The sequence below is a fragment of the Homo sapiens genome, chromosome 15 (assembly GCF_000001405.40).
Source record: "Homo sapiens chromosome 15, GRCh38.p14 Primary Assembly".
In the NCBI taxonomy this organism is placed as follows: Eukaryota; Metazoa; Chordata; class Mammalia; order Primates; family Hominidae; genus Homo; species Homo sapiens.
In genome coordinates, this window is record NC_000015.10 from 96,116,682 (window position 1) to 96,128,846 (window position 12,165).

At 41.3% G+C, this 12,165-nt stretch overlaps 3 long non-coding RNA genes across 3 annotated transcripts in view; 1 reads left to right on the forward strand and 2 right to left on the reverse strand.

The window, feature by feature from the left end:
- The window catches only part of LOC105369212 (uncharacterized), a 45,790-nt gene extending 34,630 nt beyond the window's left edge, over nucleotides 1–11,160 (reverse strand). The window contains exons 1-4 of the long non-coding RNA NR_158193.1: nucleotides 10,481–11,160; nucleotides 9,304–9,434; nucleotides 5,150–5,290; nucleotides 2,162–2,295 (exon numbers count right to left, since the gene is read on the reverse strand). This is a non-coding gene — a long non-coding RNA (uncharacterized LOC105369212). The remainder of the gene's footprint in view (nucleotides 1–2,161; nucleotides 2,296–5,149; nucleotides 5,291–9,303; nucleotides 9,435–10,480) is intronic.
- The window catches only part of LOC112268156 (uncharacterized), a 236,909-nt gene that overhangs the window by 126,247 nt on the left and 98,497 nt on the right, over nucleotides 1–12,165 (forward strand). The window lies entirely within an intron of this gene.
- Nucleotides 10,679–12,165, reverse strand: part of NR2F2-AS1 (NR2F2 antisense RNA 1) — a 200,002-nt gene continuing 198,515 nt past the window's right edge. Inside the window, exon 5 of the long non-coding RNA NR_125738.1 lies at nucleotides 10,679–10,732. This is a non-coding gene — a long non-coding RNA (NR2F2 antisense RNA 1). The remainder of the gene's footprint in view (nucleotides 10,733–12,165) is intronic.

The window sequence follows — 12,165 nt, forward strand, 5'->3', positions numbered from 1 at the left end:
GGGTGGTTCCCAAAATCCATATTACTAACAAACACCCTGAGGAAATTTAATATGTACCAAAAATTGAGAAATACTTAATATGTATCAAAAACTTACAGCAGAACATCCAGTCCTCTATTATTAATTGTACCGATTTGTCTTGTTTATATTGTGTGAAATTTTGGTTGACTATTCCAAGCATTCTAATACATACTTTTGTGCTGATATTTTTTTCTTGAAATCCCACATGTGGAAAGGCATATTTTTCGGAAGCCTATAATGTAACTTCCTTATTTTTTACATTTTTAGTTATTAGTCATTGCAAATATGTAGAAATCTATTAATAAGAATGTGGTGTTAATTACTTCTATATCAATCTAAGTGAATTGCTATATATTAAGTTATATTTTCTCACTAAGTTAAATAAAAAAACAAAATTCTTGGGTGCATTAATGCTCTCAACACTATTGAGTAGGACTTAGAATTTAATAAGAGTCGACATAATGCATGCACATTACATGTATTGTATAATATGAACCTAAAACCACCTTATTTAGAATTCTCTAATGACAATCTTTAATCCTTTAAAGTTTATTAAGAGGCCATCCAGTTAGACACATATATGAAAATACAGTTGATATCATATATTTTCACACACAATGGAATATTCAGCCTTTAAAAATAAGGAAATCCTGCCATTTGCGACAACATGAATGAACCTGCAAGACGTTATGCTAAATGAAACAAGCCAGACACAGAAAGATAAATACTGCATGATGTCACTTCTATGCAAAACCTAAAAAAGTCAAACTCATAGAAACAGAGAGTAGAATGGTTGTTACCAGCAGCTGGTGGGAGGAGGAAGTGGGGCGGTCTTGGGCAAAGGGTACAAACGTTAACTTATATGATGAGTAGGTTCTGGAGAACTAATATATAGCAGGATGACTATAGCTAATAGCATTGTATACTTGAATTTATACTTGAATTTGTATACAGTGTTATTCAAGTATACTTCATTGAATACTCAAAATTTGCTAAGAGAGTTGATTTTCAGTGTTCTCACCACACCAAAAAAAAAAAAACCCAAAAAAGTAACTACATGAGGTGATGGATATGTTAACTAGCTTGCTTGGTTGTGGTAATTATTTCACAATGTATATATCTGTCAAGCACTATGTTGTACACCTTAACAATATCTAATTTTTATTTGTCAATTATACATCAATATAGCTGGAAAAAAAGAAAATATAGCTGAGTATAAGCACACTTATCCATAGTTGAGGATATATATATTGTGAATAAAGAAAAGGAGATAATTAGGAAGGAAGAGAAGGAGAGGAGAAAGAGACAAATCCCTAGTGAGAGAGAGTCCAGTTTGGAGATTTTTTTTTTTTTGAGACAAGTCTCGCTCTGTCACCCAGGCTAGAGTACAGTGGCACCATCACAGCTCACTGCAGCCTCAATCTCCCAGGCTCCAACTATCCTCCCACCTCAGCCTCCTGAGTAGCTAGGACCACAGGTGCGGCCACACAGTTTGGAGATCTTGATGCCCAAGCATTACTCAAGCACCAACAGCCCCAGTTGCCCAGTTTACTGCCTCTAAATTTTCCACTGGGCTCATGAAAACCTGACATCAGTCACATCCATACAGCTTCAAACCTGGCACCTCATAGAGTCCCAGTTGTTTTCTCCTCTGTTTCCCTGAACACATAGCTCCCAAAACATGTCTTTTTGAAGTGGTTTTAATGATCACCTAGGATTTTAATTTTAAGTGATTTTAATGATCGCCTAGGATTTTATGCTGACCTGGAGTTGGCTTATTTAAGTGATTTTAATGATCACCTAGGATTTTATACTGACCTGGAGTTGGCTTATTTGCTCCCTGTCATATCTAGAAGGGCACAGCCCAATGTCTCCTGTCTTCATTGTCCTTTTTTTTTTTTTTTTTTTTTGAGACAGAGTCTCACTCTGTCACCCGGACTGGAGTGCAACGGCACGACTTCGGCTCACTGCAACCTCCACCTCCTGGGTTCAAGCGATTCTCCTGTCTCAGCTTCCTGAGTAGCTGGGATTACAGGCACGTGCCACCACACCCAGCTTATTTTTTGTATTTTTAGTAGAGATAGAGTTTCACCATGTTAGCCAGGATGGTCTCGATTTCCTGACCTCATGATCCGCCTACCTCGGCCTCCCAAAGTGCTGGGATTACAGGCATGAGCCACTGCGCCTGGCCTCTTCATTGTCTCTTTAATCATCATTTCTTCAGGGTTCACTAAGTTCCTCAGTCAGGTACAAAGGTGGAGTCATCCTGATTATCTGCTAGTTAACAATTTGGGCAGAGAAGGTATGTTAGTGTCTGATGCAACATTTTGAAAGGCAGATTCATTCAGCATAAAAGAAAGCTAAAGTCAGAGTTGGGTAAAACAAAAAAAACAACCAACATCTAACACACAAAATAAGATTTCTTATTTCTTGAGCGTTTGCTACCTATTAGGCCCTATCATGTTCCTTCTATGTGTTATTATTATAAAGTCTCATCATAACCTGGTTAGCTAGATATCATCACCCCAATATTAAAGACCACACAAGATGTGGTGGAAAAAGCTTCCACATTGACAAAGCTGGTCACTGGAAAATCTGGGATTCAAAGCCATATCCATTCATCACAAAAGGCTTTAAACTTTCCTCAACTGGTCACTATTTCTATTTTTTTTTTTTTTTTTTTTTTGAGACAGAGTCTTGCTCTGTCAGCCAGGCTGGAGTGCAGTGGCACGATCTCAGCTCACTGCAACCTCTGCCTCCCGGGCTCAAGCAATTCTCCTGCCTCAGCCTCCCGAGTAGCTGGGATTACAGGCATGGGCCACCACGCCCTGCTAATTTTTGTATTTTTAGTAGAGACGGGTTTCACCATGTTGGCCAGACTACTTGAACTCCTGACCTCAGATAATCCGCCCTCCTTGGCCTCCCAAAGTGCTGGGATTACAGGTGTGAGCCACTGTGCTGGCCTCACTATATTTTTTTACAAAAATATTTAGCACTTAAAGTCATACCAGTTGTTATTTTGCTTTATAAACAGCCTAAAATCTTTGCCAAAACTAGGCCACCTCTAAGTTGCTTGAGGCTCATTTCAGTTGCCTTATCTGCTCACTTGCAGTTATGGCTTCTCCACAGTATCTTCTTCTTTCCTTCTTTTCTTCTTTTCTACTATGTTGTTGTTGTTGTCGCTGTTGCTGTTTGAAACGGCGTCTCGCTCTGCCATTCAGGTTGGAATGCAGTGGCACAATCTCTGCTCACTGCAACCTCCGCCTTTCCATGATCAAGCGATTCCCCAGCCTCAGCTTCCCGAGTAGCTGGGATTACCAGCATGCGCCACCACGCCCGGCTAATTTTCATATTTTTAGTGGAGATCGGGTTTCAGCATGTTGGCCAGGCTACGTTGAACTCCTGACCTCAGATGATCCACCTTCCTCAGCCTTCCAAAATGCTGGGATTGCAAGCATGAGCCACCACGCCTGGCCTGTTCTACTATGTTCTTTTAATTATTTCTTCAAATTTATATTGAGCCCCTATCATATGTCACACTGTATCCTTAAAGAGGTCTTTAGTTCACTCAGCTTATGAATACATATTTTTGTGGAAGTTTCTTAGTGCATCTGCTACATTTTTCAAAAGTATAGATGACTATAATTGCTAAATAACTGTTTTTGCAAACTGTGGACCACAGCCCCCCCATTAGGGGTATAAATTTTATGGTTTGCAACTAGCATTTATTTTTAAAGTGAAATAGAATACAATAGAAAATACGTGTGCATCGCAGACAGTAGAGTAGCATTACTTTGGAAACTTTTGTTTCAATTATATATGGATGTTTCAACACTCATTTGCATTTGTGTTGCAATGTAAAATATATTTATTACTCGGGGTCTCAGCCAACATCATTTGAAAAACACTTCCTTGGACTAAAGGTTCGTAATGTGGAAAATAGGTCTTGTTTTTCTGTCTTCAATTGACCACATTGCTGCCACTCAATTGGGTGGGTTATTACCTCTAATTTTAAGAGAAAGTTCCCTGCTTGTTGATTCTGAATACCGACTTTAAGAATTGCAAATGATGTTCTGATGTTCTTAATGTGATTGTCTTTTCCTCCATTTATCAATGCATCAGACAGTGGGCTGCCTGGATAGCATAATTCAGTGACTTTTTGTAAAGGAAAAAAAAATCTTTCATTAGTAATGCACTCATTTATTCTTTTACAAAACACTTTTCATCATGTAGACATGGTCTTAGCACCTTGAATGTTAATTATCCACTTTGATGGCACTAGATATTCCTGTGGGGAAAATATATTTGATGAGTAAGACTAGGGAAAAAGTTCTGAAACATACCTTTCCAGTATGATTTGTGCAAGGCCAAATTTGAAAGGTCACATGGTGTAGGAGACTCCAGGTAAAACCCCATATTTGTCGCTCCATCTTAAATTATACCCAAGTTCCTTTTTTTTTTTTTTTCCTTTGAGACAGGGTCTCGCTTTGTTACCCAGACTGAAGTACAGTGCTGTGATCTTGGCTCACTGCAGTCTTGACCTCCCGGGCGGCCTCAGACTCCCAAAGTGCTAGGATTATAAGCATGAGCCGCTTGTCTGGCCTATATCCAAGTTTCATGAGTCTAGAGCTATAGTTAAATTATTTATGGAAATGAATTTCTAAATTATAACACATCATATTTTGGTGATCCAAAAACAAGAATATGATGTAAAATATGGAAAATGCACCCGTCTTCCACAATGTATATCCAAGGAATTTTATTGTCAAGCTCATATGTATGTCAAGTAGAGTGGCTTTGACGAAAAACTCCGGGTTGGTTGGAGTTGAGGGTAAGACGGGAGAGAATTTGATAAACAATGAAGGAAACCACGGTTTCAATAGGAAATCAGTGCTAGAAATTGCGCCGTCACCACTCCCCAGTATGAGAGAGAGTGTTCAAGATTAGATAAAGGATAAGAATTCACATCTCCTCTGGATGATGAGCCAATACCCTCATTGCTAGACAGATTAAAAATAAACTTTGTTTTTGCCTGTGTTTAGTCACAGATCATTTTGGCCCAGAATGGAGTCAAACAGTGTGGATGGAAAAAAATTGCCAAATATTCAATTCATTTAGAACTACTTGCCTTCTGCAGAAAGAGGCTGGACTTGCTTGGGTTGGTTATTACTCAATGTTTTCTTTTGCCTTTCCATTATTTCTGTTGTAAAAAATCTCTGCAAGATCCAATCTAGAAGTGCCCATGGGTTCCAAATTGTAGGATTCGAATCTGTGATTGGAACGAGAAACCTGGCTTTTGAGTTGCATTAACAGAGTCCTCACTAGTATTTTGACTACCTGCAACACCAAATTTGGAATTAAGAACGTGATCAGATTGATGAAAGAATTGCTACGGAAAGTGCAAGGAACAGCTCTGAAATCTTGCAGGATTACAGGCTCTCAGTGACCTATTTTGAGCACAAAATTTTAAGGTTGTAAATATTCTTAAAAGCCCTAGAAATGTCCAAGCTGGTGCTTCTGCCACCTACTCTCATACACTGATTGAAGCACAAGGAGAGATGGCAGGAGGCCAACACAGGAAAATCTCCTACATCCCAGGGACACCAGTCCCTCTGTGTTCCCACAGCACCTTATCAAAAGGATTGACACATTTGTTACACACACTATCCCCTATCCCATCCTCAGTAAATAAGATAGACCTGGAAGAGAATAAACATGTATCAGTATCAATTAAAATTTTTCTTTACCAAGGCATTCTGGTTTATGACTTTATGACTCAGAGAATAAGTCATCTTCTTCATGGTGACTATAAAGGAAGCTCTTGTTATAATTTACTCTTCTTTTGCCTAGCCACCTGATCTCACTGAATTCCAAATACTGGCATGAAGAAAACCTGATCACCTAAATCTCCAAGACACTATAAAACAGGCATTATATATGTATGTGTATGTGTGTGTAGATATATATACATGGGAGAATAAACTAAAAGGCTAATTATATCACTAAAACATATCTTGCTTTAAGAAAAATATTCTTCCTTCATCGAAGTCCTACTGATGAGTTTCTGCCTTTGAGTACAGGCATCGCCAACACTGGAAAAAAACATCCAGCCATTTACTTAAAGTCATGCCCTCTGGCTCCTTAAGGATCATGTGACCACTGTGTCATATAAGCTCTCCAAAATACATCTCAGATTCTCACCAAAACGTGGTCTTGCAGTTACAACACACCAGGTGAACAGCCCCTGACTGTTTAGGGAGCCCTCCCTGACTCACGTGGGCCTCTGATGAGTTAATATGTGCAAAAGGACTGTACATGTTTAGGTAATTTACTTATTAAAAACATTAAAAGTTTTTGGCTTTTAGAAATTCAAAGAAAAAGCGACTCTTCAAGTGACTCCTGACCCCAGCTTATCAGATGACGGGTGTCATTCTGTCAAGGCCTCCTCGCGGACCATGTAAGGAAGGCCACATTGTAGAGGTGTTTACAACTGTATAAGGTTCACGCTGCTCATTCGTGTCAACACTAGGCAATACAGATCAACTAGCCCGACTAGTGGGGTCAGGCACAAAAAGAAAAGCAATGTAGATAAATCCTTATCTAATTAAGGGTCACAGCTCTTTTTTTTCCCACAACATTTTACATCAAAAGGAGCAAACAAAACTGGAGAAAGCAATCTTCCCTTGTACATTTCCCTACATGGTAATCCATATTTCAGAGGCAATTGCTTTAAATATTTAAAGTACTGCAGAGGTGTCAGCTAGACAGCCTGAATTCCACGGGTCCCTGAAAAAGTTGGGCACTACTTTTTGCTAAATTAACTTTTTTTTTTTTTTTAAGATACTCTGTTTTAGGAGAGAAGACTATCACTTTGTTCCAATGAAAAGCTTAAGCAAGTTGCTGGACTAGATTTGTGGAGTATGCAGGCATTGATATAGTACCTCACAGTGTGTGTGTGGTGGGGGGGCAGGTGTGTGTGTGTGTGTGTGTGTACACGTGGGTGCATGCCTTGTGCACCTTTGTTTTATCTAAATTGCAGGCAATAGCAATACAATATCCCCATACAATTGTTCTCGGTCTGGAGTCACTGTGTCTGGGTTTAACTTAGAGGTAAGGGAAAACAAGTTCTTCAGGTCGCTTCAGAAACCAGCATATCTGAAGTGCATTTGAATATTTTGGTTGATCAAGAGGGATGGTTTTGTCACTGAAATATCTGATGTCTCATCTCATACTTTTTTAATCCAGTACTTCGTAAGAGGATCTGAGAGCATCTGTGTGAATGTTGCATGCCTGAATAACTGGAAAACACCCGATTTGTGGGAGTCAACTCTCTTGACAAATCAACTTTCTCTTTACTAGTTTCAGTTTTTAAAAAAACATCTCTAGCTAAGGAGATCTTCTGTGTAAATAGTATTATCTTGGAGTGATGTCTTTGGCCTGATATAACACTAAATGCCACAGGTCTACCCTAAATCAAAATCTGCAATCTCAATTTTAATTTTTGTTCATTTTGCACTCTTATGAGGATGAACTCAAAAGTAAATGATTTAGCATTACAAGTTTAATTCTATGTACATTTATAGGATAGAAAATGCACTCACATTATACTCAGATGCCTAACTTAACAATTAGCTTCTTTAGCTAAATCTTCTCAAGAACCTTCCATCCCCCATTTAGCTCCGCCTATGTATGGGAAGAGAAAAAAAAAGTTACTCCCTGCTCCTCCCCAAGATGGTGCCTGTCTACGAAGAAGCTCTCTGTGTCTTTGCGACAGCAGGAAGAGCAGGGATCAGAGTCACAGGGGACTCTGGGTACATCTGGTGTCTAATGAAGGTTGGCTGGTCTGGCTGGTGCCCACACAGGCAGGAGGTCCTGTCTCACCTGCTGACATGTCAGGCTTCTAGTCTCAGAGGTCCCAGCTGCCACTGCATCTTGACTCTCATGCTGGCCCTCTGCTAGTGCATGGCCTCAACCCAACACACCTCATCATGGAGGACTGTAGGAACCGCTGAGACCTTGTGCTGAGCACAGAAGTAGTACAGCCTCAAGCACATCCATCAGGCCAGATGCCATCGTGTGGCTGCAGCGCCAACAGGGCCTGTCACAGTGGTTTCCCAGACTGTTCCATGGGAATAGGCAAGGCCTCATGTCCTTGACTCCCCTAAATCTATCTGGTCATTTCTAACACACCTCCACATCTGTTCACCCTACTCTTTTCTCCCAGTAATGCTTCCTTCATTTGTCCTCACTGGTTCCCTCATTTTTTCCTCTAGCTATAAGGACCCCAGAATTTTAGCTCTCCATATGGCTTCTCTGAATAACAATTATATTCTCCACCTTCCTTTGCCTCTGGGTGGTCAAATGACTGACCTCTGCTAAGGGATATTAGCAACGTGATCAAATGTGGAAGTGTGGCCTTCTTTACTTTTTTTTTTTTTTTACTGGGTGAGATGCAGATGAGGTGGACAGAGCTACAGCAGCCATCTTGCACCATGATAAGGAATAAGGATCACGGCAGAGTAAAAAATAAAAAAGGTGAAGCTTGAGTCTCTTACACTGAAGAGTGCCATCCCAGCCTTGAACTGCCTTCCCCAGGCAGCCAGAAAGGAGAGAAACACATTCTATCCTGTTTCAACCACTGCTTAGACTTCCAGTCGCTCGGCATCAAGCCTAATCCTGCCACATCTGTCTCCTTTCTCTCTCCCACATTCTACCTGAGTTGAAGTGGAGTTTCCTTTTTGTCTTTCTGACTTGTAGAGATGCTATCTCATTCTTGAGTCTCCTGGCTCAGCTTTTCTTTTCTTTCTTTTTTTTTTTTTTTTTTTTGTTGGGGGGAACAAGGTCTCATGCTCACCCGGGCTGGAGTGCAGACGTGTGATCATGGCTCACTGCAGCCTCCATTTCCCTGGCCCAGGCAATCTTCCGCCTTGCCTCCCACCTTGCCTCCCAGGTAACTGCGACTACAGGTACACACGAATAAACCCAGATAATTTTTAAAATTTGGGGTAGAGACAAAGTCTCACTATGTTGCCCATGCTGGTCTCAAACTCCTGAGCTCAAGTGACCCTCCCATCTCAGCCTCCCAAAGTGCTGGGATTGCAGGCATGAGACACCACGCCCTGTTGACTCAGCTGTTTTGACAGAAGCAGAGGTCCTCCTCTTGAAGAAACAGATGATCTCATCTTCCAGGCCTGACCTCTAATGAGTTAGCCCGAATGTATAGAAATTTAGAGAAGTATTTTCCAAAGGCTGACCTACTAAAGACTCAACAAAATTCTCTACCTGATGTTAAAAGCTGTGTCCTTCACTCTTTGCAGTCCCATTAGAATAATTGTGATCCTCCCTGAGACAGCTGAATACTGTGGACAACGTGGGTGGTAGTGGTTGCGGGAGGTAAGTGGGAAATCATGCACCTGAAAAGTGAGAAAAGGAATGACATTAATATATTTAAGAAGCATTACATTGCCATTACATATGCATGTATGTATATGTACACTCACAATACTCATACGCATGCTTGGGTGGATATATACACATATGCAGTATATAATTAAGCAATTCCTGCCCAACCAATGTTAGGCATAAATAAAATATATTAACTTTAGTCTTTTCAGGATCAAACCCTCTTCTTAGCTGGCAAAGAACCTCATAACTTCTTCCCACCCTGTACCCCCTTAACAAATGCCCCTCTCCCCAAGTTATTCCTGAATAGGGTCTCTAGTGTCTCGCTGGCTTAAAGCCTCAGTGAGCATGTCAAAAAGAACCCATCTCTGTGTCCCTTGCCATGGTGCAGATTTGAAGAGCTCAGAGAGGGCTGGATGGAAGCTCCCACTGCCCCGTGTTGAGTACCTTTGCCAAGTATGCAAACTACACAACTGTGCGTGACAGCCAGCTGCCTAAAAGTCACTCGCAGGAGACAATTCACCGTATGGCAAACACCCCTGCCCCTCAAAAGCAGGACTCCTCCCTCTCTGGGGGTTCCCCTCCAGGGCTTCCCAGACTTGTCAAACCCTTGAGATATGTCACTCTTTAAGTCATGATTATGTGGCTGTTTGGTCACTCTGCATGCTGCCCAGATATGGGGCAAGTCTCCTTTTCTCGGCTCCAGATCACCGAGTTCCAGATCAATACCACTTGCTATATTTAATAAAAATCCCTAATGTAAACACCTCATGAATATTTCCCTCTCCCTTGGTGATAAAACTTCATCTCACCACCCATTCTTCTGCCTCCCCATTTCCCATCCAAGGACCAAAGCACAAAATCTCATCCCCTAGGTCTTGCCCCCCACACACCCCATCCCATCTCATCCTGTAGGAGGCTCCCCTGAGCTCCAGCTTGGCACTCCTTCAGCAGCTTGAATGCATTGTGTTCCTTCGGCTAGGCATGAGCTGTCTCCTGTGCCCCAGATGGTGGCCCATTTCACCCCCAACTCAGTAAGTCTGTGGCCCCAGCTCACCTTTCAGATCTTAGCTCGAACATCAGCTGCTCAGGGCGGCCATCCCTGCCCATGCGTCCTCTCCGTCTGTCCTCTCTCAGGAGCACTTGTTATACTCTCAGGGTCCCCCCTTTTTTTTTTAATGCTTTGCACAAATTGTTTCCTTGCATTTCTGTGTGCCAGATCTATGCAGACACTGATCCTAAGAGTAGCTTGAGGATATCTTGTTTCTTGACTTTACTTCTTCCCTTGGAAACAGGCATCATATAGGACCTCACAGGGAATGAATAGAGAGTGAAATCCTCCAAAGCATACAAAACCTAAGAATACGGACTCCTATGTGAAAACCTTCTGATGTAAAATGAAGTAAAATGAGATAACAATCTAAAAATGTTTCAGAAGAAAGGGAAAAAAATATACCATAAGAAAGCACAGTTTTTGCCAGGTGCGGTGGCTCACGCCTGTAATCTTAGCAGGTTGGGAGGCCAAGGCGGGCGGATCACTTGAGATCAGGAGTTCAAAACCAGCCTGGCCAACATGGTGAAACCTCGTCTCTACTAAAAACACAAAAAATTAGCAGGGCGTGGTTGGGCACCTGTAATCCCAGCTACTTGGGAGGCTGAGGTAGGAGAATTGCTTGAACCGGGAGTCAGAGGTTGCAGTGAGCCAAGATCGTGCCACTGCACTCCAGCCTGGGCAACAGAGAGAGACTGTGGGCAACAGAGAGAGACTGTCTCAAAAAAAAAAAAAAAAAAAAAGAGGCACAGTTTTTGGGTATTTTCTTTGACATATCCAGGTGGATGTCTACAGGAATGTCTGTATACTTCACTAATTTAGTTTAAAAAAAAAAAAAAGCATTGTGCAACAGTGAATATTGGCTGGGCTATCTGATGCTGTGCAGCCAGGCAATGTTGATTGATCCAGCTTCCCTGTTTGAATGCTGTGCCTCATCATTGCCTATGCAAGCCATAGAGCTTTTTCTATATGCCAGTTCTCAGGACAATCTCTTTTGTTGGCCTGTCTCAAATCTTTTCTGAGATGTAAACAGAGTTGTGTTGTGTAGTTGCCATGTTCAACAGGCTCTCAAGAGCCCACTGTGTACCTCTCTTTTAACTCTTCATTTGGTATCATCACACTGGTAGGTCAAAATTGGCTATGGTGGGAATATCACCAAAAGGAAATAAGCCCACAGCATAAATCAGGGCTTTATTCCAAAGTGTCAGTTGTTAAACGCTTCCCAGCACATCACTGGAGGTAAGAAAATTCATAACCAAATTGAGAATCCTGTTTTTAAACAAGTTAATTTAGGGCCACCAAGTCCTGATCATATTTCTTCTATTCCACTGAAAAGATCATGTAGATCTACTGATTTAACATGGTATTGTTAAACCTTCCATACATTTCCTGGGTGAAATTCTGAAGCCACAGTAAGACAAAATAACAAAACAAATTAAATAAAGCCTCTGATGTAGAAGTTTCTCATTAAACTTAAAGTTGCTTATCGTCTGACCTCAATGACACTGATTGTGGAATTTCCATGCATCCTTTTTCTCATATGATTAAAAAAAAGTGAATAGGTTGCTCCATTAGTCAGAAACAATACAGGAGAGTTGATGGGCGGATGGCTGTGGCCGAGATCCACAGGACACCTGGCACCTGTGCTCTACAGATTCCCCTCCCCACACCCATTTTCTCCAGTTCTCATG